General features: G+C 35.4%; 1 protein-coding gene across 7 annotated transcripts in view; it reads left to right on the plus strand.

Moving 5' to 3' along the window:
* SLC16A7 (solute carrier family 16 member 7) overlaps positions 1–22,235 on the plus strand; it is a 193,813-nt gene that overhangs the window by 60,004 nt on the left and 111,574 nt on the right. For 2 of the 7 annotated variants that reach the window (XM_011538992.3, XM_024449276.2), the window contains exon 1: positions 8,687–8,813. The exons of 3 other annotated variants lie outside the window; for them this stretch is intronic. The gene's annotated coding sequence lies outside the window, so the exon portion shown is untranslated. Of the gene's footprint in view, positions 1–8,686; positions 8,814–8,841; positions 8,912–22,235 lie in introns of those variants that run through there. 2 more of the 7 variants (XM_011538991.3, XM_005269231.4) reach the window with 1 other exon arrangement.

Genomic DNA, 22,235 nt, shown 5'->3' on the forward strand with positions numbered 1-22,235 from the left:
TGCTACGTATTTTAACTAGCTTATAAGAGTAGTATGGTAAATTTACAAAGTTATATTACCTGTTTGTTGTGAACAATTCCTAGACCAACTGTATGGTTGTATTCTGTCTTCTACCTCTGTTGTATCATGTACTCTGTCTTCTACCTCAAGTTCATGAACAAATCTTGGTATATCTATGTAGTAAACAGAATAATGGACCCCCACATTTTAATCTCTGCCACTTCTGAATATGTTATGTTACATGGTAAAGGGAGAATTAAGGTTGCAGATGGAATTAAGGTTGCTAATCAGGTGACTTTGAAATTATCCTTGATTATGTGCATGGGCCCAGCGTCATCACTAGGATCCTTATAAATGAAAGAGAGAAGGCAGCAGGAAAGATGCTCAGTCCAACCTTGACAGTTTGTTGATGTAGGAATGCAGCCAGAAGCCAAAGAATGCCAGTGGTGGCTTTCAGAGTATGGAAAAGCAAGGAAACAGATTCTCTCCTAAACCTTCCACTCACACCTTGATTTTAGTTCAGTGAGACCCATTTCAGACTTCTGACCTTTGAAATTGTAAGATAACAAATTTGTGCTGCTTTAAGCCATTGTATTTGTGGTTGTTTGTTACAGCAGCAACAGAAAACAAATACAGCTCAACACTGTGAAATTACAGACAGCCTCAGAGTAGAAACAGCGGTTTATGCCAAGAGGTTATTAGGTCAGTCATAGGGGTATTTGCTGCTTTGATTGAATTTTTTGTTCCATGTTAAGTATGCTCATAGGGCTAGGTTGTAATATGTCATATGGTTCCTTTTAGATACATAGTTTACTAAGGGAACCAGCTTAACCCTGCCTGTTCTTATTAAGAGTACAGAATATGGATCTTGGAGTGTTAGGTTCAAATGCTGCCTCTGATGCTTACTAATTATAATCTGAGCATCAGTTTTTTCATCTGTAAAATGAGGACAATACAAGTTCTTTATAGGGCTGTTGTGAGAATTAACTATTAATTTGTGTTAAGTACTTAGAATATTATTAATACTTGGCATATTGTAGGGACTAATTAAGTGGTAGCTATTATTATTACTAAATTATTCCTCAAATACTGTATTTTCTAGATTCATTTTCTTTATTCAGATATAGATAGGAAAGTATCCAAAACTTTGGGATGAGCGCCTTTGTGGTAGAGGCATTTTAATATAATTATGTGAATTTTGTAATTTGTAATTTTACTTAATTTTTAAAAACCTTTCATGCTTTGAAATACCTCTTCTTTGTCCGTTTTCATCATCATATGTAGATGAAGCAATTTTGTATATTCTATAATAATTCATTTCATTGACTTTACTTATTGTTCTGTCTTAGCTGTTTTATATTGTGAGTCTTCAGGTTTGTTGTGATGTCACTACTTAAGCATGTGAATATCTTGGTAGTAGGGAAAGTATGCAGCACCCTGTAATAAGAGATCCTAGATTAAAAATACTTCACAAGTGAGAAAAACCTAGTCTGAATGGCGTTTTCAAAGACATTGTTGAGAGAGGAGTCTCTTAAATGGATACATAGAAATGACTACTTTGGTCAGTGCCCCATTCTCTGTGTTTGACAGTGGTGGTGGGTCTGCTTTAGACCTGGTGGTAGCATATATTTGATCAGTCTTTTAGGCCTTCACCACAGTGGCTATATCCCAAGGGACAATATATTAATTAATTCGACCAACATGTGTTACATACCTCCTAATGCCAATAAACAAATGATGTCTGTTCAAAATGTTCACAGCATAGAGGGGAAGAACCAATGATCCCTGAAGTAGCATAGATTCTAGCATTATAGTTAGGCAGGGAGGTAAGACATATTTACTCTTTCTAGCTACCCACACACAAAGGCCAGTTGCAGCATGCCATGATTTCTTATGCAGTTTTAAAATGTGCATAAGAGCAAACTGTTTTGCTCTTACAAAACAGTTTGTCTGTGCCTGTCTTTTGACACCCTAGGTTTTCTCTAGTATGAGGAAAAACAAAACAAAATACATTCCTTACACAGACACCTGAAATACAAGGGATACCATCCCTTTAAATTGGATACTTAAAAACTATAATCACAGGCCTATTGAGTCTGTGGTTAAGAAACAGATATCAATAATCACATGGTGTGTTTTAGTAAAATGAGATTTCTCTTTTTCCTCAAATACGTGTGGTATCTTTGTGGTGCTTTTCAGTCAATTCCTTTGATTTTCATTTTACAGTCTTACTTCTCCCACACTTCACTAATTGGCATCTCATTTACCTGGACAAAGCTAAAAATCACAGAAAATGAGAAGGGGCTTCCCCAAGGCACTTAACTATGTGGAAATAGATGGATCTTTGGGTAGCCTTGGAGAACTGTTTGAACATGGAACCTACAAAGGATATCACTGTTTCTTGCCTATGTTTTCACTTGAATCCAGCAGTTAACAGAAGAGTAGCAGAGAAAAATAGGAACTATTTGACCAAAAAAATCACTGCTGTGAGTTAGTGGAAGGTTTCAAGTGAATTATGTACCAAATACCTTGCTGTGCCTTCTTTGCCTTTCCATGCCTTTCTACCTTGAAACTGCATCAAGAAATCAGTATAGAGGGAAGCTGAGCATGCCCAGCTGTTAATATATTCTCCCTAATATTCCACTAAGCCACTCACTGTGTCCTCATTTCTTTTACATAGACTATGGATTGTGTGGGTTGATATAAATGCTAACAATCAAATAATTAGGCTTTTTCTTTCATGTTGATAACTCCAGATTTACGTATTTTGGCAGTATATTAAAGCTAGGAAAGTTTTTAAATGTTAAGTCTTGTCCATTTATAACATGGTTCAGAAATAATGAATTGAGAGTTTCTGATATGAAATAATCAGTCAAATTTGCTAATGTGTCTATAAAAATATGGTTAAAATGAGTATAATGATTTTAGATACAGGGGAACATTTCTGTGATACTGTCCTGATAATTAAAATCCTAACATTACTTAACAGCTTTATGATGTGACAGCAGATGCCTAGAGTAGGTAGTTTTATTATTTTGCCTCGTACCTTTAGCCTATGTGAATGTATGTGGTGATCAATTAAATTATGCAAGGTTCTATAATATATGACATTGCTAATACTACTTTATAACACTATTTTAGCTTTGACAATTCTGGTTTTAAAATGCATGTGCACGCACACACACACACACACATATAGCCTCCCACCATGGGAAAGTGAATATTTAAAAATTTTTCTTAATCTATTTAGCAGGTATGAGTACATATTTCTTACATGCATATATTGTGCAGTGGTAAAATCTGGGCTTTTAGTGTGCCCATAACCGAAGTGGTGAACATTGTATCCAAAAGGTAATTTCTCAACCCTCATCCTCCTCCTAGCTTCCCACCTTTGGTACCCTCCAATGTCTATTATTCCAGCGAGTGACTATTTGAGGAAAGAGAAGCTGCCTTATTTATCCTGGCATCCCTCCTGTACATAATATAATGGGTTTTGTAGCTAGCTACTCACTATATGTTGCTTAAATTAGTTAATTAATTAAAAACAAGGAAAAATATATTCAGCTAGCCCCTTTGATTCATCTATTTAATTCTTAAAATTGATGCTGAACTGGAGAATATTGCTTGGGTATATGGTCAAATGGGGTTTCTCATTTGAACTTATCATCAAAACTTAGGCTTTCCCTTGTATGGGAAGAACCTGCTCTAGTAAAATTATCATACTGTGTAGACCAGATCAGAATCTGTCTCCTCTGTAGGAAGGCATATCTGGAAAAGGGAGAGCCCAGAATATTTCTGCATCAAGCTTGCTTAATTTTTTCTTGAAAATTCAGCAATCAGATGTGGAATGGATCGAAGTGTTATTTTAACAGCAGTGTCTGCATTAGGAAATACTAGGCCAGCATATAGTTGAGAAGCCTGGGGGTAAGAGAGGTTAGATAATTTGTTCAAGATGAAAAGTAAAATATAGGTCTTACCCAACTCTTCTAATACTAAATCAAGGTGTTTTGTTGTCATTGTTGTTTTATTTTGTGGTTTTTGTTTTTGCTTTTGCTTCTTCTTCTTCTTTTAAAGAGCCCTTTAAATAATCCTTTTTTAAAAAGAATCCTTTAGATTTTTTTTTAAAAAACTCTTTTTTTAAAAGAATTTTATGCTACATCATAATAGTAATAACTGGTGCTCCCAGGGGAATGAAGCCTAGTGAACAGGCTGAGGCCTTTCACAATGCCAGTCCAGGGCAAAAGAGGTCCACGTCTTCCATCTGCTGCTGAGGAGAACACCAAGAAAGTCTAGTCCCCATGGGGAACCCAGAGGGTAATAAAAGCATTGAAGCCATGGGACTTTAACTTCTAGGGCGTGGTTATGGCTTCTATAAACTGTCTTTGCCATATAATTTTACATTGCTTTTTAAATTGTTATATTCTGACATCATCATATGGAGGTTTTATACTTTTATTTAAAATAACTTAAAATCCCAGCCTGGACAACATAGGCAGACCTTGTCTCTACAAAAAAAAAAAAAAAATTAAAAATTATCCAGGGATAGTGGCATGTATCTGTATTCCCACCTACTGAGGAGGCTGAAGCAGGATAGTTTGAGCCCAGGAGTTCAAGGCTGCAGTGAGCTTTGATTGCCACTGCACTCCACCCTGGGTGAAAGAGTGAGACCCTGTCACAAAATTGAAAAATACAATAAAATAAACTATGATAAAAATCCTAAAATAACAACAAAAGTTTACCTTAAGTTTTATTTAAGATGTAAATTTGTTTTGAGGTGTGGAAGGATCTCATACCCTGTGAGATGTGACTGAGACAGTAGATTTAATGTTGCCTCAAACTTCATTTATTTATATCTGGTTAATGACTAATGCCTTTGTAGTGTTTTTAAAACCAGGAGAAATAATGACTTCTTATTTTACAAATGGCAGTAAAAAGCCAAAACACATTAAAATACCTATTCTACTATAATTGGCAATAGCAATAGATGGAAACTACATACCCGATCATATTACATTTTATAACATATTCTCTGTTATTCCTATGTGGAGGAGAAGTGGTTGTGTGGTTGGGTGGGTGGAAGATGCTTGTGGTATGTGAATGTTGGGAAGGGGAGGGGATAATGACCAGTTTTGAGTAGGAGCATGCCATTGTCTGCATTTGTATTAGATGTACAATTTAGGCTAAGATTTGGGATTTTGAGTAGAGAGATTGGAGGCTGGGATAACAATTGGAGGCTACTAAATTTATTGGTGCCTGTGGGAATTAGGGAAAGAAGATAGATTTAACTTCTTCTGCAAGTGGAATTTACAAGGATTGGCAACTTGGGTTTCATTTTAGAGAAGAGGAGACATTTTTGCTGACTCTGAGACTTTGAGCTGACTGGCAGAATGTTAGTGCATTTAATAGAAAGCTGTGGGACCACAGTGCAAGCTGAGAGTGATGGCGGGGAGCTAAGTGGAACCCAAGGTCCTGAGCTAGAAGGATATTTTTAAAGCACTCTCTCTCTGAACATGTTTCCTCTATTGGCTAAATACAGTAGTATCTTCTATTGAATGGATAATAGCTAAGAAAGTAAGGGTCTTAAATGTACCATGTACTCAAATCACCTTTCCAATAATTCTTTTCCATTAGTGAGCCACTGTTGTCAGCAAGAAGGGGGAATCCATTAAGATGGTAGAATACTTGCATATTTGTGGTTAGGACCACCCTCCCCCAATTAGGTTTTTCTAGGATGTATTAAAACTTTAAAGGAATTATTCTATGAAAGCAAATTTGACTGATGCCATCTTTCTCTTATGCTTATCAAGGTTAAAAGTGTTGCCTTTTTACATTATAACTCTAAGAGATAATTAATGTGGATTGTTTCCTTCTGCTATAAGCTAAATTTTAGCTCCATTGTAATTCTAGATTTAGAAAATAGAATCACTGTTAGTACTACTCAGTGAATGTTAGGATTATGGTACTCTTTCCAGGAAAAGAATAGAAAAAAAATTGTACCCAGATGAGAAAAGAAATGTGTTATATTATTTCCATTATGTTGTGAGACCTTTGTTTTTTTGTGTTTTCTGATTAATTTACTGCCGTTTTCCATTCAAAATATATATCTGAGCCTTCTGTTCTTTAGAATTTCTTGCACTTTTTATTCAGATGAAAAGCTTGGATTTTGCACATTAATTCAGTTTTACTCCTCAGTTACAATGCGAAAAACATCATAATCTCACAAGGGAAATGTGTAAAATGCTTAGTGAAACTTGAAAATAATATTATAAATAAATCTGTTGCCAAGAACTTATTGTCATGTTTTAAACACAGAATTAATAACCTATTCCAAGGGCACACAGGCTATTTATCAAGGTTTTCTCCTAAGACTATCTGCATTTCCTCTCTCCTGTCCTCATATTATTGAAGAATTTTGGAAACCAGAAATTTAAAAAAAATCTCGCATGATCCTATTTTTGGAGTTACTTTTGAGAATTTATAACCTTGGCAAAACTTAGTCACCTTTAGCCATTCTCTCCCCAGGGCTCCTGGTGAACAGGTCTGTTTTGCATTTGGCTTTTCTTTTTCTCAAAAGTGCATGTAGAAACCTCACTGTCTGTGTTTATCTCACATCTCACAGAACTTAGTTGCTCAACTTTAGTAACGTGATTTCTCTGTGCTTTAAGTTATATTCTTATAAAAAAAGATGAGTCAAATTGTTAAAGGTGTTACTGTGATTACAAAGGTGACTAAAGTTAATGTTAAAGTCAGTTCATTCTATTTGCTATGTGTTTTACACCAGCAAACATTAATCCATAATTTGCTGCTTTAGGTGAATTTTAATTTTTTGTATATTTGCTTAAAATGTTTAAGATGTTAAGGTAATGTAGTAGAAGAAATATCTTATGTGAAGAAAGATGAATTCTACATTTAGAAAGAAAATATGTGATTTATAATTTGAACTCTTTAAACTTTTCGAACATGCACACTAGACGTAACAGACCATGGTTTCTGTCAGTGGATAGTATTTTTTGAGGATTTTATATGGTAATGACAGTAAGCAAAATAATACAAAATAAGTACAAAATACATTATTCAAATTCCTGTCAATTTTGTTCTTTATAGATCTTATCAAGCTATTTTCTTGATAATATAATTTTTACATATCAAATGTATGTCTTTGTATTTCTCTTCTTATTTAACTTTAGAATATTTTGTAATAATACTAACTAAATTAACTATACATATGGGAGCCTTTTAAAATTATTATTCTTGATGTAATAAATAACATTAACTGAATAAAGTTAATAATTTCTTTACATAAAATTGAGTCTTATTTTCATATTATCAATATAAAAAAAGTAGTTGATAAAGCAAACAATATTGAAATTTTATTCTTTTACCCTTTTTAAAAAAGAAACTACTTTGAGGTATATGTACAGGGTACAAAATGAAGTTATTCATTGGTTAATCACTTATATCACATTTTAGTAATTTTACCCCAAATAAATGTATTGAACACTTACTAGCCACGAAGCACCTTGTTTCGTTGGGACAAAGAAGCATTTGAAGAGTTCTCAGTAAATATATAGACTGCTTTTGGTTGTCAGATGTACTATATAATTGTGAAATCCATAGTATAATTTTTTCACTGTATTAAAACCTCAGTTTATGTCTGATTTTGTACTAGGTAAAATTTCTTTATGCTTTTATTTCATTTTAGTTTTTAAGCTTAAGTTTTCAGTAGAAATGAAAGAAACATACCACATATTTTGTAAAAGCATTTGGTTTATTTGGTTAAGTAAATTAGATAAAATTTCTAGAGGTTATTTATGTTATTACCTGGTTATTATTATTTCATTATTATACACATTTAGAAATGCAGCCTTCCCAAATCTTTGGGAAGCATATTTTACAAGTGGCTACTGCTTAGTGCTTAGATCTAAATAATTGTATCTTTCACATAGGAAATCAGATATTTCTCATCCACTGATAGAGGAGTCTGGCATGCTGTTTGATAGAGAGGAACATGAGCCTCGAATCTAGACAATCTAGAGTTGGAATCCAGGACCCCATATTTTACAGCTATATGGCCTTACATAAGTAATCAAAACGCTGAGCTTCAGTGTCCCCATAGGAAAATATTTATCATAATGTCTATCATGTATCATTTAGAGAATGGGGTAGTGGGTATAAATTGTTTGGCAAAATGCTTACCTAGAATATGAGAAGCATTTAATAAATTACACCACTGCATTTTTCCAAAGGTTATAGTAATTTCTTCTAAAACGAAGATGGTACTAATGATCTATCACCAGATTCACCCTCACACAGGGTTGGGGACTCTTTGGGACAGAGAGCATGCATTTACAGAGTGGCTGACCATGTAGGGAGTGTTATGTGTGATCAAGAAATAGATTAAACTGGCCCACAAGAGATTCAACACTTTGACCCTGGCCTCTTTGTTATTGTTCATAACTTACAAATTACCTAGTCTCAGACTCAGTGAAGAGTCACTAAACTATTAATGTATATAGTACAGTATTTTTGCAATATGTTTTATGCATATTAAATCACGCAATGGAAAATGTGCTTGAAAATGTGGCTACATCAACACAACACATGAGAAGGTTAAATTTAGCAGTTCAAATTGCCAGACTTGGCCACCTTCTTTGACCCATGATATAATTTAAGCCAAGCTTACTTTAGACTCTGAAAAGTATGAACTAATAGTGCACGTCAAAGCAGGTTCTTGAAAAAGAGAAATAACTAACTTTGCCCTATTTGAGAGAAGAGAGAGGGGAGGGCAAAGCAGAGTCTCTGGAGATATGTATGTAAGTTTGCTTGTGGCTAAAAGTTAATGATCAGTTGCCTCTCTTCTTAGCCCTGAGCCTGGAGAAAAGTGTCAAACGCAGGTTCTCTCTCTATTCAGGTAACTTTAAAAATTATACAAATCGTATTCGTGTTCATTGTAGTTTAGATTATAGAGATGTGATTTTTTTTCCTTTAGTGTCATGTGATTTCATACTCTAAGCATATTGGAATAACAATGAGAAACTTTATATATGCTGGCTAATGTAAAAATATTTTACTTTTGAAGTACACCAAGTTAAGGCTAAGGAGAGATTCTGTATTGTATTAGATGGGAAGAGAATTTTTACAAGTTTTTATGAAACTATCAATTGTGGTTCTTAATCTACCAGCTGAAAGATGTATTAATCATAATTATTTAAAATAATGTACATTATATAGTGTGCCAAGTCTTGGCTAGTAAGGAAAATTAAAAACTTTTTTAACATTGACATTCTGAAAATAAGACTAAATGTTTAATCACTAAAATTATTTGTATTTCATATTATAATGCCAAAAGTAACCTATTTTTCCTATTCTAAATCATTATATTTGTAACTATGTATGTGTACTTTGTTGAAAAAAAATAGTAAAAATTAATAGATTTTTATTATAGGACTTAGGTAATTTCATCCAAAACATTTAGGATAGTATAATATTATGGTATGATATGAAGTTATTGTACAGTTATATTTCAGGGATGCTATATGTATAATTATCTGTAATTAAAGACATTGCTCACTAAGTTTTAAAGTCTTCACAGCTGGTGTCTAAAAATAAAAATATTGTATACATTTACAGAGTAATCATTTTTCATTGAGCTCTCAACATAGAGAGATGCATTGCTTAAGTTACTGGCATCATGAATTACAGGAATTTATATATATATACACACACACACACATATATGTAACTTTTATATACATATAACTTTTATATATATAACACGTGTGTGTGTGTGTGTGTGTGTGTGTGTGTGTGTCTATGTGTGTGTGTCTTGGTTCTTTCTAAAGTGTCTGACCTTTGTTATCTTTATTCGGCAAGTATCCAAAGCCAAAAAGCTTGCTTTGGCTGGATTTAGATTCAAGTAAACATCAAAAGCTAAATGTTCTTATGGTACTACATATGCAGTTTTCCATTTGTATTCTTTTCAAACTGAAATTAAATGTCAGGCAATGATTGATGATTTTACAATTGGAGTTTGGAGTTGATAGGAATTTGGAAGAACATAACATTTCATATATGAGGAACTAGGTCTAGAGAGGGAAACAACAACAGTTATTGGGAGTGCTAAAACTAAAATCAAACTCTCTGTTTACTTGCTGAAAAGTCGAGTTGATGGTTATTAGTCAATATTCATGTTGTTTTTTAGAGAAATCATATTTTATTCCTTAATTCATTTCGATTTTGAAGTATATCTAGATAAGGGCTGGCAGTTAAGGTATAGTTGTTTAGTGATATTTTCCCAATTTATGCTCGGCATTGCTAAATTTATATATCAGTTCAGTTTACATAATCCCATTAGGATTTCCTTAGGTATTTAAGTTCTGTTTACAAAAGGAGATTCTCAAGGTTAGAGAAGAGAGTAATATGGTTTAGTTGTGTTCCCACTCAAATCTCACTTGAATTGTCGTTTCCATAATCCCCACCTGTTGTGGGAGGGACCTGGTGGGAGGTAATTGAATCATGAGGGTGAGTTTTTCCCATGCCATTCTTGTGATAGTGAGTAAGTCCTGAGATCTGATGGTCTTATGAAGGGCAGTTCCCCTGCACATACTCTCTTGCCTGCCACCATGTATGACGTGCCTTTACTTCTCCTTTGCCTTCCACCATGATTGTGAGGTCTCTCCAGCCATGTGGAACAGTGAGTCCATTAAACCTTTTTCCTTTATAAGTTACCCAGTCTTGGATATGTCTTCATTAGCAGCATAAGAACAGACTAATATAGCAAATTGGTGCTGAAAGAGTGGGGTGCTGCTGTAAAGATAACTGAAAATATGGAAGTGACATTAGAACTGGGTAACAGGCAGAGGTTGAAAGAGTTTGGAGGTGTATTAGTCTGTTTCCCACTGCTGATAAAGACATTCCAGAGACTGGGAAGAAAAAGAGGTTTAATTGGACTTATAGTTCCACGTGGCTGGGGAGGCCTTAGAATCATGGTGGAAGGTGAAAGGCACTTCTTACATGGTGGAGGCAAGAGAAGATGAGAAAGAAGCAAAAGTGGAATCCCCTGATAAACCCATCACATCTTGTGGAAGTTATTAACTATCATGAGAATATCATGGGAAAGAACAGCCTCCATGATTCCATTACCTTCCCCTTAGTCCCTCCCACAACACGTGGGAATTCTGGGAGATGAAATTCAAGTTGAGATTTGGGTGGGGACACAGCCAAACCATATCAGGAGGGCTTGGAGGAAGATAGGAAAATGCAGGAAAATTTGGAACTTCCTAGAGACTTGGAGGGCTCAGAAGACAGTAAGATGTGGAAAAGTTTGGAACTTCCTAGAGACTTGTTGAATGGCTTTGTCCAAAATGCTGACAGTGATATAGATGATAAAGTCCAGGCTGAAGTGGTCTCAGATGGAGATGAGGAACTTGTTGGGAATTGGAGTAAAGATTACTCTTGTTATGCAAAAAGTTTGGCAGCATTTTTCCTCTGCCTTAGAGACCTGTGGAACTTTGATCTTGAGAGAGATTAGGATATCTGGTGGGAGAAAGTTCTAAGTGCCAAAGTGTTCAAGAGGAAGCAGAGCATAAAAGTTTGAAAAATCTGCAGCCTGATGATGCAGTAGAGAAGAAAAACCCATTTTCTGGGGAGAAGTTCAAGCTAGCAGCAGACATTTGCCTAAGTAACAAGGAGCCAAATGCTAATCACCAAGACAATGAAGAAAACGTCTCCAGGGTATATCAGAGGCCTTCGTGGCAGCCCCTCCCATCACAGGCCTGGAGGCCTAGGAGGGAAAAATGGTTTCCCGGACGGGGTCCGTGCCCCCTCCTGCTGTGTACAGCCTAGGGACTTGGTACCCTGCATCCCAGCCATGGCTAAAACGGGCCAAGGTATAGCTATATAGCTAGGGTCATGGCTTCAGAGAGGACAAGCCCCAAGCCTTGGCAGCTTCCACGTGGTGTTGAGCCTGTGGATACACAGAAGTCAAGAATTGAGGTTTGAAAACCTCCACCTAGATTTCAGAGGATGTATGGAAATGCCTAGATGCACAGGCACAAGTTTGCTGCAGGGGAGGGGCCCTCATGGAGAATCTCTGCTAGGGCAGTGCAGCAGGGAAATGTGGGGTCAGAGCTCCACACAGAGTCCCCACTGGGGCACCATCTAGTGGAGCTATGAGAAGAGGGCCACCATCCTTCAGACTGCAGAATGGTAGATCCACCAACAGCTTGCACTGTGAACCTGGAAAAGCCACAGGCACTCAACTCCAGCCTGTGAAAGCAGCTGGGAGGAGGTTTGTACCCTGTAAAGCCACAGGGATAGAGCTGCCCAAGGCCACGGGAACCCCCCTCTTGCATCAGCATGTCCTGGATTTGGGACATGTAATCAAAGGAGATCATTTTGGAACTTTAAGATTTAATGACTGCCGTATTGGATTTAGGATGTGTGTGGAGCCTGTAGTCCCTTTATTTTTTGCCAATTTCTACATTTAGAATGGGCATATTTACCCAATTTCTGCACCCCAGTTGTATCTAGGAAGGAACTAACTTGCTTTTGATTTTACAGGCTTATAGCTGGAAGAGATTTGCCTTGTCTCAGATGAGACTTTGGATGTAGACTTTTGGGTTAATGCTGGAATGAATTAAGACTTTGAGGGATTTTTGGGAAGGCATGATGGGTTTTAAAATGTGAAAACGACATGAAATTTGGAAGGGGCTAGGAGTGAAATGATATAGTTAGCCTTTGGTCCCCATTCAAATCTCAAATTTTAGTTCCCATAATATGTGTTGTGGGAGGGAACTGGTGGGAGGTAATTGAATCATAGCGGGTATTCTTGTGATAGTGAATAAGTCTCACAAGGTCTGATGGTTTTATAAAGGGGAGTTCCCCTTCATATGCTCTCTTGCCTGTTGCCATGTTAGACATGGCTTTGGTCCTCCTTTGCCTTCTGCCATGATTTTGAGGCCTCTCCAGCCATGTGGAACTGTGATTCCATTAAATCTCTTTCTTTTATAAATGACCCAGTCTTGAATGTGTCTTTATGTGAAGTGTGAGAACGGACTAATACAGAGAGTATTACCAGTTCTCATTTAGATACACACCAAAGCCATGCTGACAGGTTCATAATTTATAAGTTAAACATTAAGATGGCTGAAGTTTTACTATTCAAGAAAATTTAAAGTATGAATAATATCAAAATATATAAATACATGTGAATCATATTCATTTCAAGGTTGAAACAATCCACATACAATTTGAAGATAAAACAATTATTTTCCATGATGTTAAAAAGTACAAGTTTGTTATTGGGTCTCTAACAATTAAGATTGTGGTTTTTTAAAGTGGGGTATATATAGATTTCTTTTGTTTTTAGTAGACTCTTCAATTTATCTTTTAGTATTAGATATTTATATTCAGAGCCTGGCTTTCGCATATTAATAACTAAGTGCTGGTCTAATTCACTGTGGCCATTGAATATTCACATGCTTCTCAGTTTCCATTTCAGATTACACAAATACATTTAACCATCAGAAAGTTTGTCTCTGTTCCTTTAGCCCAGTATTAGGTATGCCTCATGAATTCCTGAAGTTTACTGAGGCTCTTTAGCAGTTACCCATAGATAGTCACACACACACACACACACACACACACACACACGATTTATCTAAACGGGAGAGAAACAAAGGCTATCAATACTTTCAATGCTGTAAAGGGTGAAGGCGTCAGAAAACCAAGCTTAAAGTCTCAGCAGCACAGTTAACTTGCTTTGCAAATCATGGATAAGTCACATAACCTGTAAGAACTTCTGTTAAGTGAACTATAATTGGGGGTTATAAGAATAATAATAATGCTTACCTTCCTTGTCTAGTGTGAGAATAATGTGAATTTATATAAAACTGTACCTGGTAGATTACAAGTTCTTATTAAGCACTTTCTAGGGCTGCCATAACAAAGTACCATAAACTGGGTAATTGAAAACAACAGAAATTTATTCTCTCTCCTTTGGAAACAAAATATCTGAAATCAAGGTGTCAGCTGGGCTGTGCTTTCTTGAAAGCTTCTAGGGGAATATCCTCCCTTGCCTCTTCCAGCTTCTGGTAAACCCAGGCTTTTCTTGATTGTGGCAGTAAAATTTCAATTTATGCCTGTATCTTCAAATGACATTTTCCCTGTGTTTGTGTCTTCACATGGCTGTCTTCTTATAAGATCATCTGTCATACAGGATAAAAGCTCACCCTACTCCATTGTGACCTCATCTTAACTAACTGCATCTGCGTTGGCCTTATTTACAAATAAGGTCACATTCTGAGATACTGGAGGTTACAGCTTCAAGGGATCTTTTTTGAGGGACACAATTGAAGTAATCACAGCCTGCCTTCCAATCCACCCCCCCCACCAAATTTAAGTCCTTCCCACGTGTAAAATACATACATATGATTCCAACATTCCCAAATGTCTTAACCATTCCAACATCAATTCTTAAGTGCAAATTCTCTCTAAATCAATTATGGGTGAGATTTGGGGTACAGCCCATCCCAGAGCAAAATTCCTCTCCATCTGTGAATCTGTGAAACATAGAAAATAGGTCATCTATTCCCAAGATACAATGGTGGGATGGATAGGGAATAGACATACTCATTCCAAAAAGGAGAAATTGGAAGGAAAAACAAATGGTGTCACTGGTCTAAATTCACTGGTCTAAAACAAGTTCAACCTAGTGGGACAAATTCCATTAGGTTGCAAGGCTTGGCAATCATGATCTGTGGCTCAGTACCTTGTCTTCTGGGCTCATCGTGGTGGTCCAGACAGTAACTCTGCCCCCTCCACCCTGGTTGGTAGCCCTGACTGCTGGAGCCCAGGAGGTGGGCCTGCCCTCTAGACATAAGAAATTCCCTTAACCAAGACCTCTGCATCCATGAGTCTCCTCTCTCTTCATGTCATCCTGTCTCTGTTTCTTTCTATGCATTTCTGCTGATAAAATAATTTCAAAAACACTTGTCAGCCTCTTGTGCAATTCATGAAGGTCCAAGCCATCAGACAAGAGGGTCCTCTACGGTCATTTCTGTAAATCTGCATCTCTATTCCTGAATTCGAGGTTCTTTATTCTTCTCTTATGGTTTATTACATATGTATGCTTCCCTATACAATATTTTATTGATATCATTTTACAAGTTACCAAATCTCACATATGGCATCTGAATTAGTCCTTTTAGAAAACCACATGCTTTATTTGTTTAATAATATGTTTGAAATGATATGGTTCAAACATAGAGCTTTAGCTCATTTATTTTAATTTCTGTGAATTCCATTCTATGAATATGTATACTTTAGTTACCAATTCCCCTATTGATATACATTCCTCTATTGATCTAATTTTTGACTCTTATGTATCATGCTGCTATAAACATTCCTTTGTATTTCTTCTCATGCACAACTGTGCACACCTAGGATTAAAATAGATGATTATAAGATATGCACAATTTTCCCAAGCAGTTTTTGAAGCATAAATGCATTCTCACTTCCTGTACTTGTTTGGAAGCTATTAGAATTTAGGCTTTAAGCCCATGGAGTAGCTTCAATCAGTTTTTGTTGTAAAGTTCTGCCTGTGTCCCTTTGACTACAGTGCTCTTTCTCTCTCTCTCTCTCTCTCTATATATATATATGTGTGTGTGTGTATATATATATGTGTATATATATGTGTATATATGTATATATGTATATATAATGTGTATATGTATATATGTGTATATATATGTGTATATGTATATATGTATATATGTGTATATATATGTGTATATGTATATATGTATATATGTGTATATATATGTGTATATGTATATATGTGTATATATGTATATATGTACATATGTATATATACATATATGTATATATGTATATATCCATATATGTATATATGTGTATATATGTATATATGTGTATATATCCATATATCCGTATATATATGTGTATATATCCATATATCCGTATATATGTGTATATATCGCATATATCCGTATATATGTGTATATATCGCATATATCCGTATATATATGTGTATATATCGCATATATCCGTATATATATGTGTATATATGCATATATACGTATATATATGTGTATATATGCATATATACGTATATATATGTGTATATATGCATATATACGTATATATACATATATACGTATATATATGTGTATATATGCATATATACGTATATATATGTGTATATATGCATATATACGTATATATATGTGTATATATATGTGTATATATATATTCTCAGGTGTTGATGAGCAACAGTTTTATTTTTGAGTAAGTTTTATATTTTGAATACAGTTTGAAGGTATGGAAAGCAGGCCGGACCAGCGCTAGGCCTGTATCAGTGAGACAGACTTTCTTATCTCCCATCTTGTGTGGAGTACTTAGAGCCCCCTCTACCATGTAGAGCATGAACTTCTGCTTCATTGACTACTTCCAGTCCCACATTCCAGCAGGCTCATTGTTTCACCATGCTGTGTTTTCCTTCTGTTTCTGGGCAATGGAGATGCTTCTTCTTCTTGTTGATATTATTATTATTATCATCATTTAGGTTAGATATTTAATTTGTTTTTTGCTTTTCAGATGTTTCTATCACCATGTGCTTGCAGAAGAGAGTTTACATTCACATGTAAATTTACAGCAACATGTTGATTCTTTGGCTGACTTTGGACTAAGGGTGGATAGCAAATAATCAAATCTAAAGTGCATCACAGTTCTGTATTACCTATTGCAGTTAGATATGCATTGGATTCTAATTGTGTGGGTTGCAAGAATGACATTCTTATATAATAATCAAAGAGCTTTATTTGTATTCTTACCTGGATGGAAGGCTGTGCCATCTCTCTTTCAAGATAGTTCTGCAAGTGTACTTTATAGTAGTCCAAGGACTTTAATTCAAATGCAGTTTTGGATCTAGTCAGCTATTTGACCTGAGCTTTAACAAAGCCATAGAATTCTGCACTCTAAAGCATAAAAGAGTTGACTTTGACTCAGGATATTTTATAGGTTAATGTCTCATTTCCATCGCCTCTATAATAAAGTAACTTACAAGGTTCTTATGAAATTTATAATTTTGAGCAGTATATTAAGCATGTCAGAACGATTTTGCTACATAATATTTCCACGTATAATGAAGCTAACCTCTTGAACAAAACTTTTAGCATTTTATATCTGAGTGTAGAACATTTGCTGAAATTGATGAATTGGTTTTGGCATAATAAATATTGAGCTGTTATTTTTGACAATAATTGGCAAATAGATTCAGTTATTTCTTGAAGTTGATTCTAAAATATACTAGTCAGAATGTGCCATAACATAGAATAAGTGACTCCCATGATGTTGAACAAAATTAAGCCCTAACTCAGTAGGTAGGACCCTGTGTTACTTATAGACTAGGCAAGTTGTCAGCAAACATGTTTTTTTTTTTTTTGGCCACAAGTAATCTCTAGTAATTTTTGTTAGCAATAAAATATTTCACATGAGCACTTAATTAGTATATTTTCTTCTCTTTTGTGCAGCCTAACATCATAGGAGTGAAAAAACTGTCTCATATAACCCAAAAGGACGTTAACAAAGATGAATAAAATATTGCAATATTCATTTCTTACCCATACACTGAACTTAATATTGGAACAGGTTTATAAAGATGACACTGCATGTTCAATTCTGTGTATCAGTTCTTCAAATGACTTAAGTCTCTATTGGTCTTTGCTGTGATACTTGTTGGGACATCATTGGTTATCTAACTGGAAGAGGGCATTTATTTATCTGTTAGTTCTCCAAGGATATCATCATCTCTCTTGAGAGGAATTTTTGCAAATATTCTTGTTGGATTTTTTTACTCTTTCCTTGTCACTTGATGAAATCATGCTCATCATTCAAGCCTCAACCAAAATATTTTTATGATCTCAGTCTGATTTAGTTATACTGCCTTATACAATAGTTATTACTATAGAGCAGCTTTTCCCAACTAGATTTTGATGAGAAAATTATTCCCTAATAACCTAAACCTTACATCTGATTTATCCATTTTATGTTGAATTAACATTTCTCTTTTGCATTATGTTGCATAATATTTATGTAATATTAGAAGAACTAAGAAAATAGCTACTAAAACAATTTTCCATTTTTAAGGATTCAGATAATTCTAGCAGGGAAAAGCTGCCATAGAGTGTTACGTTCTTTTTTCCTTGTTATTATCTCTAAAAGGATTATATACTCCATGAAGGCATAGACTATATCTTGTTTCATCTTTGTACCCCTAGTGCTAGCACACTGGACTTCTGCCACATAGGAGCTGTTTGATAAATATTTGTGAATTAAATGATAGAAAGAGGCTTTCTTCTTCTCACAAAACTTTGTTGATAGAACTATTTAAGGTGACAGGTAATCCATATCACTAGGTTCAAGGAGCTTAGATTACACATGAACTAGTGTTGATATTTGAAAGGGCCAGTCAGGTGGGGAAAGCAGAGGAAATCTGAACTGCGCTAATATTTTTTGTCAGCGCACCAATGTTATATGTATAGGTAGTAGGTCTGTTTAGGTTAAGTCAAAATTCTCTACAGCGTTATCAGCTCTCTAAAGTAAGAGGTGCTGGGATGAAGGTGCAAAAAAGAGGAGCAGCATGGCAGAAATAAGGCAGGAGATCTATGTTCCAATAAAAAGGGCTAAAATTTAGGCAAGGATTTCAGTCCTTTGGGAACTGGAGTGAAAACCAACAGTCAAGATAGAAGTCATGCTACAAAGATAGGAGTACATTTGGGAAGGCTGTTACTCACATGATATTCTCGTATCCCAGATTACAGTGGATACAATGGGACAGAAGATAGATCAAATTCAAACATGCTAGAGGGTTTAGGACTTCTAAAATACTAAGACTCAGTTACAGGTGTCTCATAAAGTGGTAGGTCTGATCCTCAGCTCTCAGGTCATCTTACCCATAACTAAGCGAGTCTGGGTCAACAAGGGCAATGATAGAACAAGGCCGTATGCCTGTCATTATCCAGCAGGCTAGTTTGTTTCTTCATAGCATGGTGATGACAAGGGTCCCAAGACATCCTTAAGACCTGATGAGAGAGGACAGGCTCAAATGCACAAATGGTTTCAAATATCTACTTATTTCATATTTTCATATTTCTTATTGTCTTATTCACTGATCGTAGTGTTATGGGCTGAATCTTTGTGTACCCCCAAAATACCCAGTGTGATGGAATTTGGAGATGGTGCCTTTGGGAGGTAATTAAGTCGTGATGGTAGCATCTTGTTCTGATGAAATCAGTGCCCTTATGAGACAACAGAGAACTTGATCTCTCTCACTCTTTTCTTGGACAGAGGAAGGCTAAGTGAGCACACAGCAAAAGAGTCCTCAACCTCACCTGACCATGTGGCACTCAGATATCAGACTTGCAGCCTCCGGAACTGTGAAAAAAACAAATTTCCATTGTTGAAGCCACCACTGTATTTTGTTATGGCAGCCAGTGCAGACTAGCATACACAGCAGATCACATGTTCAAGCCTCAAAGTAAAGGTAAAAGGAAAATGTTAAAAGAGGAAGATACAGAGAGGGGAACCATTTGTGGCCTATTTTGTAATCAACCATAATTGTGCCACAGTCTGAATAAATATAATTCATGATGTAATAAAATCTGTGTAGGGATTATACATTAATGAACTATGCTTCTGATATAAAAAAATTTTTAAATGAACACTTTTAGAAAAAAAATGACCTGGATCAGATGTCCTGATGTTATTTAGCACTTCCACTTTCCACATCATGCACTTACATATTAAGTATACTTCAGGACTATTATGTGTTTACTAGTTTTGCAGCTATTGCAAATTCCCCAGATATATATATATATATAGCCAAATGACTAAATATTTCTTTAAATCTTCCTTCACATAATCTGTTCAAAAATTAAATTTTTTATTATTTCATTGCCAATTGACCTTCAGGCAAATTGTCAAGAAATTTATGAGGGTAACAGCTTGAATATGTGTTCCCAAGTGTCTCTTGGGTAAAATATGACTTATGGCTTTCTTGCTCCTGAAATGATTAAGTCTCAAAACCTAAAGTTGACAGCAGAGTCATTGTACAGATTGATGTTCTCAATGACTAACATTTGACAGAATTTGCTTCTGATTTATTATGGTTCTAGGTAAAAACAATTTACTTCAATTTTTAGTATTTTTACTATGTTCTTTCACTAATTGGATAAAAAATAAAATTTTGTATTGAATATATGTGCATTTTGAGTAAACTAATATTTTAAATTGAACTTTTATTTTTTAAAGTACAATTATTTTTAGGATGCTGACATGGTTTCTGCTCTTTTCTCTTTTGATGTTAAGTAGCTCCTGATTTTTTTTTAATTGTAGCTAACAGCAAACTATTACTCACATAAAATCTATTCAGTAATAATGGATTTTTTTAACCATTTTTTCATTCAAGCATACCAAATGGATGTGAAGAACAATTATAAACAATTAGGTACAGCCCCCACTAACAAAGTTTAATTTCTGGAAAATAGAGAACAATAAATCGCTTTTCTTTACTCCTCAATTACTCTAAGTTATTATAATGTTTAATTTTTTAAGAATTAAAGTATGTGACATTAAAGAAGGAAACAAAATGCAAAAAATGGAGGGAGTACAGATAATACATAATTCCTTCCTAGAGTATTTGTATCTACTAAGTAGGTAAAGGGACATATTTTTATTTTAAGTTTCCTATATAATTTATACTTTCTACTTATGCAAACGTTACTTAAAAATCTTTCATTAAATGCAAAAGATTTTAAGTAACATTTGCATAAGGTAGAAAGCATATTAACATAATTAATATCCAGAGGACTACCATTCAACTGAAGAACTTACTAGAATGTCACTTGAAATGAGTTTATTCCTTTCCTGTTTCATCTGCACCCTGTTCCATACAGAGACAGCTTATTTTAAACTTTATTATATGTTTTAGCCCATTGCTCGTGTGTGTGTATGTGTTTTTTCTTATAATAGAAATATTTAATGAATCATGAATTTTTGATACTTTGAATTTATAATGGAATCTAGGATGAGATCTTGGGAGTGCAGTCTTTTTGTGAACTGCATTTTCCTTTCTAGTAAAAAGACAAAATCAGGGTTTGTGTGTGAAGAGGTTGGTCCAATGCATCATTATTGGGTAGGCCAGAGGCATATTGGAAGGGGTAACACTTAAACTGGAAAAATTTGAAAATTGAACATTAAAATATTAAAGAGATTTTTTTAAGGAGCTCTGAAACCTTGCATGCAAATGTTTATTAACAAAGCTAGTGGTATTTATAGCTTACTCCAAATTGGAACTTATTCCAAACTAAACATGTTATCTTCTTTTACCTAAAACTTGTCTCAAGAAATAAATGGTTTCAGTGAGTCTTTCAGGTCAAATATCTGTCTCATTCTCAATCCCTCTCTTTTCTTCCACTAGTTTTAGCATCCACCTTCAAAGTACAGCAAGGTTCTAGTTCCTTAATTGCTCTCAAATCTTCCCTCTTGTCTTTCCACAAGGCTACTGTTTTGTCATGGCTTTTCTAGATTACTTGCAGTAGAATCTAATAGTTTGTTGCTATAACTTCTGTCTTCAACTGTCTTCTTTACCCTATCTCTTAAATGCAAACTAGCCAAATCATTCCCTTACTCAAAAACCAGTAAGTAATTTTGAAAGGTTTAAGAAAAATGTGCTGTGTGCTTTTCTACCCTCATTTATGTCCAACTACATAGGTCATGGTGCCATGGTGTCTCTTACTTCCAGGACATACAAATATTACAGGATCCTTGGGTGTCACTTCACAAGCCAGAAACCTCTGTGGCTGGTGGCACCTTTGCCCAAGTTTTTACTTGAGCCTGGTGGACTCGTTCCACCCGCTTGCCCTGGCAGGCTGCACTTGGCTTGCTCTGCTGGCCTGAATATCACACCTGCCAAGGGTGAGCCAGGTGTGGAGCAGTGAGGGACATGTGAGTGAGCAAGTGTGGGGCTCAGCCACTGTGCAGAGCCAGGCATGCTGGCTGAGGTCACAGCCCTGGCTCAGGGAACTCCTAGGTCTGGGCTCCCTGAAGGGCCACAGCTCTTCTCTGCCTCTCTCTTCTCTCCTTCTTATTGCCTGCAACATGGCGAGGAAGGGGTGTGTTTTAGCCCTGTTTGTGTTACAGTTCTTTTAGCCCCA

The sequence above is a fragment of the Homo sapiens genome, chromosome 12 (assembly GCF_000001405.40).
Source record: "Homo sapiens chromosome 12, GRCh38.p14 Primary Assembly".
NCBI lineage: Eukaryota > Metazoa > Chordata > Mammalia > Primates > Hominidae > Homo > Homo sapiens.